This window comes from Homo sapiens, chromosome 16, assembly GCF_000001405.40.
Source record: "Homo sapiens chromosome 16, GRCh38.p14 Primary Assembly".
NCBI classification, from domain to species: Eukaryota; Metazoa; Chordata; class Mammalia; order Primates; family Hominidae; genus Homo; species Homo sapiens.
Window position 1 is genome coordinate 81,909,922 of NC_000016.10, and position 18,108 is coordinate 81,928,029.

Here is an 18,108-nt window from a genome sequence, read left to right on the forward strand (position 1 = left end):
CACTTGGTTCATATGTGGCAGAGCTGGGATTTGAATCCAGGCATCCTGGCTCTAGAGAAGCAGTTATATATATAAAAGGGGGATGGGGTGGGGTGGGGTGGGGGAAGTAGGTAGAATGTTCTGGAATCCAGGCTGAGGGTCTAGCCTATACTAAGGCCCTGCATCTGGTTTTGTTGTTGTTGTTGTTGAGATGGAGTCTCGCTCTGTCGCCCAGGCTGGAGTGCAGTGGCGTGATCTCGGCTCACTGCAACCTTCGTCTCCCAGGTACAAGTGATTCTCTTGCCTCAGCCTCCCAAGTAGCTGGGATTACAGGCATGCACCACCATGCCCAGCTAATTTTTGTATTTTTAGTAGAGACGAGATTTCACTGTATTGGCCAGGCTGGTCTGGAACTCCTAATCTCAGGTGATCCACCCGTCTCGGCCTCCCAAAGTGCTGGGATTACAGGCATGAGCCACTGCGCCCAGCCTCCTGTGTCTGTTCTAGGAGCAGAGGGAAGGTTGTGTGGCCACATGTAATGTCCCCGCCTCTGAGGCCCTGGCTGCCGCAATGGCCTGGCCTGCGTTCTCCCAGCACTGATGGCGTCCTCTCCCCGCAGGCGGTCAGGCCGGGTCCAGCACTGCCGGATCCGCTCCACCATGGAGGGCGGGACCCTGAAATACTACTTGACTGACAACCTCACCTTCAGCAGCATCTATGCCCTCATCCAGCACTACCGCGAGACGCACCTGCGCTGCGCCGAGTTCGAGCTGCGGCTCACGGACCCTGTGCCCAACCCCAACCCCCACGAGTCCAAGCCGTACGTGTCTGAGGGTGGAGCAGGAGGCAGGCGGTGGTCGGGTTAGCTCCACCAGGCAGAGAAGCTGGCCTGGTGGTTCAGCCGGGCCAGTCCCCCAGGACACCCTCTCCCCAGCCCACCGGCATCTCAAAATTGCCGAGGTGGCCAGTTTCCAAATTCCTGGCACCATGACCTGTGTCCTTTTCTCTTTTCTTTCTTTCCTCCCCTTTTCTCTTTTCCCTTTCTTCTACTTTGTCTTCATAGCCCCGAGACTTTGGGCTTTGATTTTCAGAGGGTCATTTTGGCCTGGGGATATTCTCTTACCTTTCAGAGCTCCTTCCTGTTTGTTCTGAAAATGAACAAGGAAACAATGATTATAAGAGTCTCCCGCTGATTTTTTTTATCTAGTGAAATGAGTATCAAGGTAGGTCTTGCGAAGGGTCAACAAATTCTGGGAATAAAGAAAAAACAATTTTTAGGCAGAAAGCTGCAAAAATGTCCATTTCCGAGGAGGCCGTATTACTTATAGCAACTTTTTTTTTCACTTTTTCTGTCACATTTTCCTATGGATTGCCTCTTAAAACTTGCTATTTCTTATCTTAAGAAATAACCCGAAAACAACCCAAAACCTTGTGAAACTCCTGCTGTGATCTCCGTCTTCGATTTTCTGAGACACGTGGCAATAACTGTGCCTCCCTGGGAGCCTGGCTTTTCAGGTTTGGGCTGCTTGGGTGGATGAAGATGAATCAATTTTTTGAGACAAGGTGTTGCTCTGTTGCCCAGGCTGGAGTGCAGTGGAACAATCACGTCTCGCAGCAGCCTCGAGCTCCTGGGCTCAAGTGATCCTCCCACCTCAGCCTCCTATCTGGGACTGCAGGTGTGTGCCACTGTGCCCAGCTAATTAATTAATTAATTAATTAATTAATTTTGAGACCGGGTCTCGCTCTGTCTCCCAGGCTGGAGTGCAATGGCACGATCTCAGCTCACTGCAACCTCTGCCTCCCAGGTTCAAGAGATTCTTGTGCCTCAGCCTCCTGAGTAGCTGGTATTATAGGCGCACGCCACTGGGCCTGGCTAATTTTTGTATTTCCTTTTTTTTTTTTTTTTTTTTTTTTTGGGACAGAGTCACATTCTGTTGCCTAGGCTAGAGTGCAGTGGCATGATCTCGGCTCACTGCAACCTTTGCCTCCTGGGTTCAAGTGATTCTCCTGCCTCAGCCTCCTGAGTAGCTGGGACTACAGGCGCCTGCCACCATGCCTGGCTAATTTTTTGTATTTTTAGTAGAGACAGGGTTTCACCGTGTTAGCCAGGATGATCTCGATCTCCTGACCTCATGATCCACCCGCCTCAACCTCCCAAAGTGCTGGGATTACAGGCGTGAGCCACCACGCCTGGCCCAATTTTTGTATTTTTAGTAGAGACAGAGTTTCGCCATGTTGGTCAGGCTGGTCTTGAACTCCTGGCTTCTCGCGATCCACCTGCCTTGGCCTCCCAAAGTGCTGGGATTACAGGCGTGAGCCACTGTGCCCAGGCTATTTTATTTTTTATAGAGATGGGGGTCTCATTGTGTTGGCCAGGCTGGTCTCAAACTCCTGACCCCAAGTGATCCTCCTGCCTCAGCCTCCCAAAGTGCTGGGATTTCAGGTGTGAACCACTGTGCTCGGCCCAATGTATTATTTTGGGCTTGAAACAGACCCCTGGGGTCTTCCACTATTCTTTTCACAAATTCTCTTTGCTGAGGTGCCTTTGTCTGGGGAAGCCCACTGTGTGATTTCCATGGTCGTTTCCAGGGCCAGGTTCCAGGTGTCACTGGTGCCATTATCTTGTCCTCTGCGGGTGGCCCACTGACAGCCTGGAGACCGCTCACCTGGTCGTTTTCCCTGGCCCTGTGCCGCAGGTGGTACTATGACAGCCTGAGCCGCGGAGAGGCAGAGGACATGCTGATGAGGATTCCCCGGGACGGGGCCTTCCTGATCCGGAAGCGAGAGGGGAGCGACTCCTATGCCATCACCTTCAGGTGGGTGCGAGGGTGGGAGGCACATGCTCTACAGAGGGGCTTGGCAAGGACAGATGCGGAGAGACAAGGGGGAACTTCAGGTGGAGGCTCACCTGCAGTGCCCTGCCCCCCCAGCATCAGCGACAACAACAACCACCACAGCAAAAGCCGCTGCGAGAATGTGCGCTCCTGCGTGCCAGGCACAGTCTGCGTTCTCCAGGGCAGGATGTTCTGTAGTAACTCACTTTGGCTTCCAGTAACTCTGTGGGGTTGACATGACCATGATCCGTGTTTCTCAGAGGAGGAAACTGAGGCACAGCAAGATTAAGTAACTTGCTGAAGCATGCAGCCACTAAGTGGTGGGGCTGGGATTCGAGCCCAGACAGCCCAGGCAGCCCAGGCCTGTGATGATATAGATCTGGTTTCCTCCCAACTGCAGCTGCTGCCCAACCACCTCTAGGCCTGTGGTTCTCTAATGTTACCCCAAAACGCCAGATTCTCCCACTTCCACTAATGACAAGGAGCCGAGGAGTGACTCAGACTCCGTGTAGCCTACTGTCCCTCCATCTCCCCAGCCCCAGGGTTTCCCTGCATGTTCTTACGGTGGTAACAGTCTGCTATATGTTGAGTTCCTAACCGTGTTCTAGACACTGGACTGCCTTCAAGGCCTCATCTGATTGAATCCTTTGCTACAGCCTGTGAGAGGTAGGTCTAGTTATTGCAAGGGAGGAAACAGGACCAGAGAGGTTAAGTGACCTGCCTGGAGTCACACAGCCTCATAGTCAACTGAGTTTGAGGTTCAGATGCAGGCCTGTCCGTCTCCAAAGCCTAAGCTCTTCACTCCAGAGTCTCTAGCCAGAGGCCTGGGGGCCAAATCTCCAGCCAGAGGCCTGTGGGCGTCTTTTGTACACTGATGTGAAAAACTGAGAAATTTCACTGAAAAACTCAGATTGCTTCTTGTGAAAAATGGGAGGCAGTGGATGCTCTGGGCCTGTGTTTCCACATGGGCGCGGTGGTGCTGGCTGCATGGCAGCTACTGTGGGGTGTGTGGTTTGCCCCTGTCCACTCCTCTCCCCATTCCCTCTGCCCTGATCCCATCCCCTGGTGACCCTGCCAGGCTGCCCCCTGGGCGTTTGGATTTCCCTTCCTCCTTGCCTGCACCACTATGCCTGAGCCACCTCCCTGGGGACCGTGGTGACGGTCATTATCACTATAGTTTACTGAGGACCTACTGTGTACTGGCTCCAGCCAGAGAGCAGCCTCCCACCAGCATGGCTTTTCTGTACTCTCTGTTCCCAAGAGGGTGACCTGGGCTTCTCAGCATTGGTGCCTCTGCCCTTTGCTCTTTCCCCTAAGCCTCTTAGTGGTACCTCCTCAGCCTGGATGGGGAGGAGGTGTGTTCAGTCCGCTGCACACGGATTGAAAACCTGCTGTGTGCCAGGCCCCAGGTGGGGTGTTGGCACTCCCACTGTGCTGTCATCCTGTGCAAATGATGGCAACTAAACCCAACTGGCTGAAACTGAGGTGCCCAAGCGGTGAGACAGCTCTGACACAACCGGATCGGGGCCTCACCTGATGATGGTCAGGATGCCACCTGTATGTGCATGCTGGCGTTACTCTCCATCAGCTTCTGTCTCAGGTGGCTGTACCTTGGGCTGCCAGGACAGTGTCCGGCAGAAAGGATGGCCCCCTCCCTGAGCCAGGTGGCATGATTCTGACAGGCCATCTGGGGATGGGGTTGGGGTCACTTCAATGGGACCGCGTGAATGAAGAGGTTGGGTGGGTCCTCAGGTTGATTGCCTGACTTACATACACGCCCCATTCAGTTTGTGAGCTTGTCTTCCCCATGAGATTGGAGGTGTCTTGAGAATGGAAGTTTTTATTTTTTAGAAGTTAATAGATGTTTGGTGAGCACCTACTGTGTGCCGGGCCCTGTGCTGGGCTCCAGAGATGCAGGAGTGATAAAAACAGCCCAGTCCTTGCTCTCTCAGGCTAATGGTCTGGCAGGGATGAGAGACATCGCCTTACTCCAAGTGTTTCTTGCTTTTGACCTGTTCCTGCTTATGTAACATTGGCTGGGATGTAGTTGGTGGTTGGTGAATGCTGGCTCAGTGAATCAATCAGCAAGGATGGCCGCTCCCCACCTCACCCCATGGCCCACTGTCAGGGAAGCTCAGTCCACACAGTGTTTCTCAAAGAGTTGGGGTGTGAGGACTGATCCTGTTGTATTTGGATGTTGAACTTCCCTGGTCTCTACCCACTGCATGTCTGTCTGGGACCCTAAGTCATTGTAACAATCAAAAATAACATCCCTGCCCCAGGACACACACTTTTTCAAACCCTCTCTGGTCAGGGTATGGGGTGAAGCGTCACTGTCCTTCACTGAGAAGCACTGAGGAGGTTTGAGCACATAAGGAAATCAGTGTAGTATTTTGTGATGAGTGCTACAAAGGGATTGGTCAGGCAGGGTGGTGGAGGGTGAGTAGCTCTCCAGGGAAACGGATGGGGAATTTGGACCAGGCAGTAGGGGAACACAGGTCTGCAGCAACTTCTCCTTGCCCTCTACATATTTGTAAAGTGCCTCTCCTGTGCCAGGCACTGTTCTGGGCTCTGGGGATGTGTAATGAACTTCTGGATAGATTTCCCCAGTAGAGGAGAAACACCTGCTTTCAAATCCACAAAGGAAGTGTTGAGTTGTTGCCCGGCTGTGATTGGTGGAAGGCATCTCTTGGGCAGTGAAGCTGAGACCTCAGGCTGTGGCCGTGGCATCCACGCTCCAGGAGGATGGAAGATGCAACTCGTATTCCAGACCTGTTCCCATCTCCCCTTCTGATTCTCTTTTCTCCCAGGGAAGTTAGTTGTGGGTTGATTTCATTTATGTTTTCCAAACCATTCACTTACTGAGTCCTGCCTGAGTGCCAGACACTGTGCCGACAGCTTACCCTGAATAAGCTAATAGACGATGATCCTAATGCTCCCCATGCGACGGGTTGTGGATCCCCGATGCTGTGGATCGGGAAGCTGAGGCTTAGGGGTCCCCTGTGGAAGGAGCCGGAACCTGACCTTGGCTCTGTACCTCGGCACCCCAGAGCCCCCCTGCCTGCCCTGAGGAGCTCTTATAAAAAGTTTTAAAATTAATTTTTAATTACATGAATATTGCAGGAGGATATTCTCTCTATAAAAAATTAAGACATTACAGTGAAGGCTAAAGCCCCCTGTGGTCCTTCTAATCTCAGTAGAGAGGTCCTGGTAGAAAGCACAGTTTTCTAGCTGGTGTGTCCATCCAGACATTTAAAAAATATGTACATATTTATACATGTCTGTATCTATGGAAAATATATGGTGCCATTTTGTGTCTGGGTATTTTCATTCTATTTTTAGAAAATACAAATGGGAACATTCTGCAGCTTTTCTACTCAGCAGTGTTTCTTTTCTTTCCTCTGTTTTTTTAGAAGGAATAAATATTTAATAAAATATCACTGGAAATAAACCACTGAAGCAGAAGTCTTCTAGCATTTTGTTTTTACAGGACTTTTTGACGAAATCGCTTAAAGCAATATATTTTTTTTTTCAAAAGACTGGAAATCCTTTTTTAAAAAAAGAAAAAAAACAACGTTTTTTAAAAAAAGAAAAAAATAAATATTTTAAAACAAAAAGTCTCTCTATAGTGCAAAAAATGCCTTTTCTTGATTTTTTTCCCTGCCATGCAAAATTGTTAAATGAGCAGTATGCCCATAGAAACGATGCCTCTAGATGCTTTTCCTAATTTATTTAATTGACAAATAAAAGTTGTTTATATGTATCATGTACAACATGGTGTTTTGAAATATGTATACATGGTGAAATGGCTAAATTGAGATAATAACATATACACACACTTAACCATTTTTTTTTTGTGTGTGGTGAGACTTAAAGTCTACCCTCAGCAATTTTCAAGAATACAGGACATATTTTTTTTTTGAAATGGAGTCTTGCTCTGTTGCCCAGTCTGGAGTGCAGGGGCGTGATCTTGGCTCACTGCAACCTGCACCTCCTGGGTTCAAGGGAGTCTCCTGCCTCAGGCTCCTGAGTAGCTGGGATTACAGGCATGCACCACCATGCCTGGCTAAGTTTTGTATTTTTGGTAAAGGTGGGGTTTCACCATGTTGGCCAGGCTGGTATCGAACTGCTGACCTCTGGTGATCCACCCTCCTTGGCCTCCCAAAGTGCTGGGATTACAGGTGTGAGCCACCACGCCCGGCCAGGACTTTGTTATTGACTATAGTCCCTATGCTGTACCATAGATCTCTTGCACTTACTCCTCTTGTCTAACTGAAATTTTGTATCCTTTGACCAACATATCCCCAACACTCCCTACCTCCCCCTGCCCCGGACCCTGGTAACCACCATTCTACTCTCCACTTCCGTGAGTTTAAACCTTTTTAGGTTTCACGTATGAGATCCTGTGGTATTTGTTTTTCTGTGCCTGGTTTATTTCACACAGCACAATGTCCTCCAGGTTCATCCATGCTGTTGCAAATGACAGGCTTTCCTTTTTTTTTTTTTTTTTTAAAGCAAATGGTATTCCATTATGTAAATGTACCACATTTTCTTTATCCATTTATCTGTTGATGGGCAGGCTGATTCTACACCTTGGCTATGGTGAATGGTGCTATGAACATGGGAGTGCAGCTTTCTCTTTGACATATTGATTTCCTTTCCTTCAGATATATACCGAGAAGTGGGATTGCTAGATCCCATGGTGTTCTATTTTTAATTTTTTGAGGAACCTCTGTACTGTTTTCCATAGTGGCTATGCTAATTTACAGTCCCACCCACCAGGTGCAGGGGTCCCCTTTTCTCCACATCCCCACCAGCACTTCTCCTTTAGCTAATAGCCATTCTAACAGGTGTGAGGTGACATCTCATAGTGGTTTTAATTTGCATTTATCTGATGATTAGTGATGCTGAACATTTTTTACGTAACTGTTGGCCATTTATGTATCTTCCTTTGAGAAATGTCTATTCAGATCCTTTGTCCATTTTTTAAAATTTTTTATTTTTTGAGATGGAGTCTTGCTCTGTTGCCCAGGCTGGAGTGCAGTGGTGTGATCTCAGCTCACTGCAAGCTCCGCCTCCTGGGTTCACGCCATTCTCTTGCCTCAGCCTCCCGAGTAGCTGGGACTACAGGTGCCCGCCACTGCGCCCAGCTAATTTTTTGTATTTTTAGTAGAGACGGGGTTTCACCATGTTGGCCAGGCTGGTATCGAACTCCTGACCTCAAGTGATCTGCCTGCCTTGGCCTCCCAAAGTGCTGGAATTACAGGTGTGAGCCACCACGCCCGGCCTTTGTCCATTTTTAAATTGGGTCATTTATTTTCTTACTATTGAGCTGTTTGACTTCCTTATATATTTTGGATATTGACCCCTTACCAGATGTTCAGTTTGCAGATGTTTTTCCCATTCTGTAGGTTGTTTATTTACTCTGTTGATTCTTTCCTTGGCTATGTAGAAGCCTCTTAGTTTGATAAAATCCCATTTATCCACTTTCACTTTTGTTGCCTGTGCTTTTGGGGTCATATCTGAAAAATAATTGCCCAGACCAATGCTACGGAGGTTTTCCTCTCTGTTTTCTTCTAGTAGTTTTACAGTTTCAGGTCTTATGTTTAAGTCTTTAATCCATTTTGAGCTGCTTTTTTTGTTTATGGTGTGAGATAATGGTCTAGTTTTCTTCTTTCGAAATTGCTATTATTTCTATATAGGAATTTATTTCAAAATTCTTTTAATTTTTTTAAATCTAGGTTTCCCAACCCTACTTATTTAACAGACTGTCCTTTCCCCCTGGTGTGTTCTAGACATCTTTATTGAAGATCAGTTGACTGTAAATGCATGGATTTATTTCTTGGCTATCTATTCTGTTCCACTGGTCTGTGTGTCTGTTTTTATGCCACTGTTGTGCTATTTTTATTACTATAGCTTTGTAGTATATTTTGAAGTAAGATAGTGTGCTATCTGCAGCTTTGTTATTTTTGCTCAAAATTGCTTTGGCTATTTGGGGTAGACATTTTTAAAAAGACCCTCTTGGCTGTAAACTTAGGGTCAAAAATATTTTTCCAGATGTTTCTGTCTTGCTGATAAAAGCTAATAAAACCAAGGAGGCTCTTCTGTTTTGGATTTTTTCTGCTTCATGTTTCAAACAGATGAAGGAATGAAAGACTTGTTTCTTTTTTTTTTTAAAAAAAGTCACTGTTTTGCTAGTTGAGTCACCGAAGACAAGATTTAATAATTTTGAGGTGGGGGGGATTGGCAAACATTTTCTGTGAAGGACCACAGAGTGAATATTTTAGGTTTTGCAGGCCATATGGTCTCTGTTGCAGCTACACAACTCTGCTGTTACAGTGTGAAAACAGTCCCAGACAATGTATAAACAAATGAACTGTAGCTGTGTTTCAATAAAGCTTTATTTATAAAAGCAGGTGGTGGGACACATTTGGCCTACTCTTGACCTAGTTCCCTAGGAAGCTCCTAAAGTCAAGTCCTGTAGTTGGGGAGGAGAGGAAGGGTAAGAGGAGCTGTTGAGTCACTCGGCCATATTTCTTCTGAGACACAGATTCTTCTAGATCTGTTTTGAAAATACCCACATCATTGTTTTCTTATTGTCTTGTATTCCATAGGAGGACTATACCCTGTTTATTTACCCACTTCTCTAAGGCTGGATAACTAGGTTGTATCTAATCAGTAGGGTTTGTGTAAAAATTGTTTGGCCACCAGGATCTTGGCATGTCAACCCTGTGTTCTTCCTGCTCCAGGGCTAGGGGCAAGGTAAAGCATTGTCGCATCAACCGGGACGGCCGGCACTTTGTGCTGGGGACCTCCGCCTATTTTGAGAGTCTGGTGGAGCTCGTCAGTTACTACGAGAAGCATTCACTCTACCGAAAGATGAGACTGCGCTACCCCGTGACCCCCGAGCTCCTGGAGCGCTACAATATGGTAGGTGGTGGACTCCCTTGTGATTTGGTGGGATTTCTTGTCTGAGGTTGTAACTCATCTGTTCATGAATTCAGCAAACCTCTGAGTATTCACCATGTATCTGATACTGCTGTAGGTCCTGGGGATACAAATTGAGCACAACAAAGACCCTGCCGTTGTGCTGCTTATAGTGTAGTGTTGGGGAGATGCAACAAATGACATTTAAAATATCCATAGCATGTGCCAGATGGTGATGAGTGCTATGGAGAAAAACACTGGGCAGGTGGATAAGAGGATACAGAGTGATGGGGAAGGGGTTGAAGTTTTCAGAGGGTGGTCTAGGAAGATCTCACTGAAAAGGAATGAGCCATGTGGGTATGTTCTGGAGGAAGAGAGGATAGCATGCGCAAAGGTCCTGAGGTAGAAGCCTGCCTGGAGGCACCAAGAGGAAGTCAGCATGGCCGGAATCAAGCCAGCCCAGGTGGGGGTAGAGCTAAATAAGGATGAGGGTTCACAGGTGACTTATCATGCAGGGGCTCATAGGCCATTGTAAGGCCCTGGCTTTTTCTCTGAGTCATTGGAGAGTTCTGGGTGCAGGAGAGACCTGATGTGGTTACTTTGTCTCCATTCCTACCACATAGATCATTAATTTATTGAAGAGAGATTTATGGCATCCCGATCATGTGCCAAGGACTGTTCTAGATACTAGGAGTACTGTGGAACAAAATCTGCTTTGGGAAATTTAGGTTCTGGAGAGGAGAGACAGATAATATACACAATTAAGATGTTTTCAGGTAGCATGAAATATAATAAAGCAAAGAAAACAGGATAGTGTGAAAAGGGGTGGACACTACCTTAGGCTGTGGGAGTGGAGATCAGAGAAGGCCACCTTAAAAGGGGAGAAATGTGAGCCGAAACATGGAAGATAGCAGTGAATGGGATCTGGGGAGAAGTGAATGAAGGGGTGACTCTAGGTACAGGAGTGGCCACATCACAAGCCCTAAGGTGACATGAGGAACAGAAAGAAGAGTTAGAGAGGAACAGAGAGGTGGTGGGGGTGGATCTTGTCAGTGGTGTGCTAGTAAATGTTCAAACAGCTCTCAGCGGGGTAGGGGGAAGGCACTGGTTTGTAGCATTTGCCAGTTTCCATGGTGTAAATACTTCCATGGAGGTCAGTTTCAAGTTGTTGATGTGCTGTCGTTGAACCTGGAACGTGGAGTCAGGAAGTGATGTACACAGTGGGCTTTTGTGAGCCGGGAGGTCACTCCAGCACACCATCGCATCTTAGGATTTGTGCTTTTACAAAGGAACGCAGTGCCTGGCACGCAGCAGGCCAGGACAGGGCCTCTCTGATTTTGGGTTAGTTTCCAAGTCTGGGGACCTTCTTTATAGCTTCTTCCTGTGTCTACTCATGGGCCAAAAGAAAATTCTATGAGGTTTCAACTCCTCTATCAAAGGATAGGTAACCATAAGGAAGCCTAGAACCCTTGTTATATGTAAGGGCTATTCCAGGAGCATGGATTATTCCATTTCTTTCTTTCTTTTTTTTTCCAGGAAAGAGATATAAACTCCCTCTACGACGTCAGCAGAATGTATGTGGATCCCAGTGAAATCAATCCGTCCATGGTACGGTGCCGAACCTCCAATTCACATGATTTTGGAGTCACGAGGCTGATGTGGATTCCATCTTGTTCCCATGGCAGTTATAACAGGGCAAGGGAAGACTTTGGAAAACCTGGCCAAAATAATTTTTTTTTTTTTTTGAGAAGAAAGGATGATTGATAATATCAAGCCTAGTTTCAGGGAAAATGTTAATAGAATTCCATCCAAATGCAACAGTGTTTTGCTAAAATTCTGAGGTTTGACGAACCACCTTTGGGCCAAATGGCTTCTAATGAAAAGTCTTTCAAATGTTTTTGGCTCGCTGACAGAGCCTGTGGTGTTTATAAATTCCATTTGGTTCACTGACCTCCTTGCAGTGCAAATGCTATCTCATATTCCCACCCTGACTCTGTTGTGTAATTTCATGCAGGTAGGGATGGATTTTACTTTCAGCCCTCGGCTCCTCCTTGCCATGCTTTCATCTCAAATTTAGTTTGAGCCGGCAGAGGAAGAACCACAGCGAATTTTCTGTTTGGGGGCCATGTGGCACACAATTAGTGTACAACGCTCACTTAGGAAGGGGCCCTGCTTGTGGGCTCTGTTGAAATCCAGAGATGACTTTCTTTTTCAAAAATTTATAATCCATGGCCAATGCAGATCTGTTTCAGAAAGAAATGAAATCTTGAAAAGTTGTGGGCAAATTGAGCTGTGTGTGAAATGCATTAAGAGACCTTAGTAGCAAAAACTTTTGTTAGTAGTGAAGGATGTTTTGGCGATGAGAACAGTCACCTCTCTAACTGATGACTTTTCCTTCCTGTGGCCTTGGAGACTGGCTGGTCCTTATATCCACCCTTGAAGCAGGATACGCAAGTAGAGGCTGCTCTGTTTGCAGGTGGGGGAGAGAAAGGCAAGGGTACTGCTTAGCCTCTGGCCTCCAGCTGCAGATCCCTGTGGCAGAGCTCCTAGAACCCACATTGCTTCTTATGAAACATCATGCACTATGGCACTAACTCACATTGATGGATCCAGTTCTGGGCTGAGCCACTTAAAACAGCTGGTCGATGTGGGGCAAATTACTTTCTCTCTCTGCATCTCAGTTTTCTCATCTGCAAAATGGGCATACTCATATAACTACTTACCTGTTATGGTTGCTTAAGGATTAAAGGAGATACCTTAAGGCTTGGAATAATGCTTTAGCGATACTATAGTTAGCACTTAAGAAGTGCAAGCTGTTGTCAGTTTTATCATTATACACATGATCTCATTTAGTAGTCTTAACAACCCTGTGAAATATATAAAAATTTAATTCCCATTTCACAGACGGGGGAACTGAGGATCAGAGAGACTCAAACTTATATCATTATTCAAGGGCAGAGCAATGATTTGAACCTACATATCTGACTCTGTAGCCTGTGTTCTGAGGAAAAATTTTACTAGGTTCCCTGTGAAATTCCTGTTCCCATTTCCTTTGGGTGGGAGGAGAAGGAAGCTGCTCATTTAAACAGGTTTGACAACGTCAGAGCTTTTCCCACTAACATTTGCTTGCCGTGTGGGTGTTCATTTATGCCCGCCAGGCAGAAAGCATGAAAGCAAATTCATTGAAGAAAATTTCTAACCAAGGAAGTTCTATCTTATTTAGTTCTGTGAACAGAGACCACCTTTTGATGAATTTCATGGAGGAGAAGCTCAGTTACTCTTGCAAAATGTCAGGGTCCTGCAGGAGTGTAGATAGGGGACTGCTGACCTACAAAAACAGAGCAATGAGGCCCTCAGGACAGGCAGGAAGAATGGGGTTGCCCTTGAGCTTCTGGGAGGCTTGCTGAGCACCGGCACTGTGATGACAGTCTTGGCTTAATCTAAAAGGCATGTCCTTTCTTTGTTGAGGAAATTGAGCAATATTGTGTCACTACAATATAGGGTCACTCCCACCCTAACCCTAAGCCTAACCCTAACCCCAGCGCTAAACCCTAGCCCCAAACCCTAACTCCTAACCCCTAACCCTTAACCCCAACCCAGGTACCCTTGGCTCTGACTAGGCCAGTTCTCCTTCACTCCCTGGTGGCTTTTTGGGGCCTTCGATCCTTTGCAATGCCAGTCCCTCTCCAGCAGATGACTTTGTAACCTTGGCCTGAAGCCTCCTGCTCCCCAATGAGAAGAACCAAATGGTACCTGGGAACGCAGCCGCCTCCCTCCCCTCCTGTCCCTGGCCTGACCTTTTCCTTCTTGTTTTCCCTGAAAGCCTCAGAGAACCGTGAAAGCTCTGTATGACTACAAAGCCAAGCGAAGCGATGAGCTGAGCTTCTGCCGTGGTGCCCTCATCCACAATGTCTCCAAGGAGCCCGGGGGCTGGTAAGGCTGAGTGGAGGCTGGGCTGCTCGGCAGGTGGGCTTGACTTGTCCCTTCTTGGTGATAAGACTCAGGTGCTGGCCAAGTCTGACCCCCTTTGTCATCCTGGGCTGGCTTTGACCTCTTGTGTTAAGTCCCTTCTTAGGAAGGTGGCTTGGTGCATGCTCTATTTGAGAAAATGGATAAACAACAATATTAACAGGTATCGACATATCATATCATATATTGTATATTATTATAATTACAACAGCAGCTACCATTTATTGAAGTCTTTCTAAGTGGCAAGCAGTCTGCTAATTGCTTTCCATGCATTGTCTAACCAAATCTTCAACCAAATCTTCATTACTCCCTGTGACAAAAGATGCGGCAAATGAGACTTTCCAAGTCACACAAATAAATACTAAATACTAAATAGTGCAGGCGCTTTCCAATACACAAGACTGTGTGTTATTTCCAATTCAAATTCGTATGCTGTTCCATAGTCCCGTGCTGTGTGCAATGGCCACATCCTGAATTGAAGACAATACGTTTTTCGTGCAAAGGTACCTGGGTATGCTAGGGTTTAGTTACCACTTCGCTTTTTAACCTTAGAAGAAAAATTCACTGCCCACTGATAGGTTTCTGGGGAAGTGGTTTTGTGGGGTGACTTCTGTCTGAGAGCAATAAGAACTTGCTCATAATAGTGAGCACTGGTTTAAGCACCTCATAGACTGGCATTTCTGCCTCCCACAAGATAACTGGACCTGGCTTAGGAATCTGAATAGCAGCATGCATGGAGTGCTTCTATGTGTCAAGCACTGTTTTAAGCACGTTTGAAATAACTCACTTCATTTGAAATAACTGAGTCTACATGATGACTGTAAAAGGTTGGTTCTGTTGTTACCTGCATTTTACCGATGAGGAAACTGAAGCCTTCAGAAGTGCAGTCACTTGTCCAGGGCCACATAGCAGGCTGAGATTTGAACCGCCAGGCCTTTTGACTCCAGAGCTTACACTCTTAACTCCATTCATCTGCTAAGTCCTTCCCTGTCCTCTTGCAAGATGCCTTAATCCAGGGATTATCAAACTTTTTCTTAAAATCAGGAGAACCTCATTGCAAACCAATTCATACCTAGATTCCACAGAATCAAAGATGCAGCCGAGTTACCCATTGAGCTGGAGTGGGGGCGTAGAATTGCCCTGTTTGGCCTCCTTGCTGACATTGCTGTTCCTACTGCAGCCTCTGATGCTTCCCCTTGGAGGCTCCCAGACCCAGTTGGGCAACCACAGTGTTGTCCGTCTGCTTCTCCCAGTTCAGAGGCTCGGCTTTGCCGAAGTCCCTCCACTCGAAGTGGCACAGAGTTGAGGTCTCTTCCAGGCACACTGGCGTTCCCTCACTGGGCTCCTGTCCCTGCCTTGGTCAACATCCTGGTGCGCACTGGGTGGGTGACTAACAACATTTTTGGAGTTGTGGCTGGAGCCCAGGTGACTACTCCAAATCACGGTTTTCCATTCTGTGTGAGATGGCCTCATGCCTTTCTATGCCTCTGACAGGCAGTTCTCTGAATTTCGAAGGCTCTTGTCTTAAGAGACTGTCAGAAGTCCCTTTGGCAAGGGACTGTGGGCAAACCGCCCAGCGGCTGTGGTCAATTCCTCTCTCTGATGGCAGTAGTGCTACCTAGGGGGCCGCCTGGGTGAAACCGGCTTTTTTGCATACTTCCAAACTGGTTCCCTGTAGCTAGGGGACCAAACAATTATTGTCTGAACCAAGATGCTCCTGAGAGTGAAGAGAATGTAAAGTGCTCAGTCCTGGACAGATGGTATATATGATCGCCGTAAATACAGCCAGCCCTTGCCAGAAGTGGGTCTGGAGAAATGGTGCGGGGGGGCGTGAAAAGGGCTTACAACCCGCAGTCCTGTGTCTCTGCTAGGTGAATTGGTAGCATCAGTCCTCACTCTGCTTATTCAGACCAAAAAATTGTTAAGTTCTTCCCACCACCACGGAGCACAGACTTGATTAAGATCCAGAAAGGTCAGCCGGGTGCAGTGACTTGCGCCTGTAATCCCAGCACTTTGGGAGGCCGAGGCGGGTGGCTCACTTGAGGTCAGGAGTTTGAGACCAGCCTGGCCAACCTGGTAAAACCCTGTCTCTACTAAAAATACAAAAATTAGCCAGGCATGGTGGCCCATGCCATAATCCCAGCTACTGGCGGGGCTGAGGCAGGAGAATTGCTTGAACCTGGGAGGCGAAGGTTGCAGTGAGCTGAGATCGTGCCATGCACTCCAGCCTGGGGGACAGAGTGAGACTCTGTCTCAAAAAAAAAAAAAAAAAAATCCAGAAGGATATCATATAGAGGGGAAGACAGATGTATAATTATACGTTAAGTATAAGATGTGGCTGCTTGGATGACTGTGGGGACAGGATGCCAGGGGACCACAGAGGAAGAGTGCTCAGCCTAGGGGGCAGTCAGGGAAGACTCCGTGGGAGAGGAAATGCCCAAGCTGAGTCTTAAATTAGTGGGGGGAAGTTGGGTACCAAGGGCATGGGCCAAGGCATGGAAGCTAGGCAGCATGGCAGGGGCATGATAGGGACGACGGGCCAGCTGGAGTCAACATCATGGAGAGTTAGGAGGTGATGTCTGGGAGTCCTGGGGTCAGACTGTGCTGGGCCGTGGCTGCCATGTTGAAGAGTCTGGGCTGGATTCTGGAGGCCCTGGGGAGCCATCATGTGGTGTGGTCAGAGGTGCATTTTGGAGAGTCCCTGGCTGCGGAAAATAGCTCAAGAGATGGGCAGGTTGAAGGAGGGCGTTTGCATGTCTGGGCACGGCCTTGCCGGGAGGAATCTTAGAGGTGCTCACCGTCTGGTGGGGTCCAGGAACATTCATAGATGGATTATGTCCCGTGTTGTTAGTGTTGTTATAAAGATAGGGAACAATGTTTTAGCTGAATAATAATAAGAGCTAACACTATTGAGTATTTACTGTGTACTAGGTAGGCGCTGTCCCAAGCACTCAGCTTATGTTAATTTAGAGTCCTAATAAAACCCTCTGAGGGAAGCACTCACGTTTATGCATTTTTCAGATGGAGAGTTGGAGGCACAGAAAGCCTCCACCGTCAGTGGTAGAGCTGGAGTTTAATTCCAGCCTGTCTGCCTCCAGAACCACCTTCTCTCTAAATTCACAACCTCCCCGAAATAGGGGTGAACTTTTGTCTTGTATGGTCTCTGACTTCCACGTAAAGCATGGAAACTTTTGACTTGTGATCTTTGATTAAACATTAAGATCATGTGATGGGGGTAAAATCAGCCCCCAGTAACTCATTAGTAATTAAAAAATAAAAAGACAGCAGTTGCCTTTGAGATGCTCCATTGTCACAGATAGTGACACTGGTCACTTGGCCACTTGCTGTCTGTCCCCATCAGAATTGAGCCAGCAGCCGGGTGCAGATGAGCAGTAGTGGGTAATTCATGCCACCTGGTGACAGCGCCCCCATGTCCTCTCTTCTTATCCAGGTGGAAAGGAGACTATGGAACCAGGATCCAGCAGTACTTCCCATCCAACTACGTCGAGGACATCTCAACTGCAGACTTCGAGGAGCTAGAAAAGCAGGTGAGTCCCCCTCTTCGATCCTCTTACAGGAAGAAGGGATCTGCAGGTCCAGTTTTTCAGGGAGCTGTGCCATCTCAGTGGGTGAATTTTTCCATGTGCTGCTTGTGGTCTCTGTGGAGCTCTGGATCAGGGAAGACACAGTGATGATAGGGAAATTGAGATTGAGTTGTTGTGGGTGAGTTGCTGTGACAAGCCGGCCGTGTTTTAATCAGGTTGTGTTGGGCTTGGAAGGATTTCATTATGCAGGAGAATTCCCGCTGGAGTGAAAGTGACCAAATGGGGAATTTGTCCTTTGCTTAAGCAACTTGCAGATGAAACACATTTATATTGGACAGCCAGACATTGAGAACGTGCTTGGGGCGAGTAAGCAAGTGGGCCTAACCAGAGGTGAGATGAGGCCTTCCTGGTGACTTTGCAAACCTGGTGGTTGTTCCCTCGCCGCCTCTTGTTTAGAGAGCAGCCACTTTCAGCGTGCTAGCACTCCACCAAGGATGATATCTTTGTAATGAGGATTTTAAGATCCCGTTAGACCCCCAGGTGTTTATTTTCTAAGGGATGTAGGGCAATCTGGGAAGGCTTCCTGGAGGAAGGAGTATTTGACCCTTAAAAGTCAAGTTAGAGTTCAACAGCAAGAGACTGGCAGAAGAGAGGTGCAAGTGGGAGGTACAGTCTAAGCAAAGGTGTGGCAGTGGGAATGTGGTTGTGTTCCGTGTGCTTGGGCTGAGGCAGAGACTGGAAGCCCTTGCTTCCTCTGTACTGAGTTGCCCTTACCTGTACATCAGCATTTACCTGGTGCAGGGGGTGGGGTTTGGGGTGGTGCAGGCAAGGAGTGGATGCCTGGTTCTGCCACC

The 18,108-nt window shown here is 47.5% G+C and overlaps 1 protein-coding gene across 4 annotated transcripts in view, besides 1 other annotated feature; it reads left to right on the forward strand.

Moving 5' to 3' along the window:
- PLCG2 (phospholipase C gamma 2) overlaps positions 1-18,108 on the forward strand; it is a 223,645-nt gene that overhangs the window by 170,881 nt on the left and 34,656 nt on the right. For all 4 annotated transcript variants that reach the window (NM_001425751.1, NM_001425749.1, NM_001425750.1 and 1 more), the window contains 6 exons: positions 599-799; positions 2,676-2,795; positions 9,563-9,743; positions 11,277-11,348; positions 13,564-13,673; positions 17,161-17,257. In NM_001425751.1, the coding sequence (NP_001412680.1) occupies positions 599-799; positions 2,676-2,795; positions 9,563-9,743; positions 11,277-11,348; positions 13,564-13,673; positions 17,161-17,257 (781 nt within the window). The remainder of the gene's footprint in view (positions 1-598; positions 800-2,675; positions 2,796-9,562; positions 9,744-11,276; positions 11,349-13,563; positions 13,674-17,160; positions 17,258-18,108) is intronic.
- Positions 2,891-3,390: an enhancer, noted in NCBI's record as "H3K27ac hESC enhancer chr16:81946417-81946916 (GRCh37/hg19 assembly coordinates)". NCBI's record gives its function as "activates a minimal SCP1, AML or CMV promoter by ChIP-STARR-seq in primed H9 embryonic stem cells {active_cell/tissue: H9 hESC(primed)}" and the evidence as "EXISTENCE:reporter gene assay evidence [ECO:0000049][PMID:30033119]".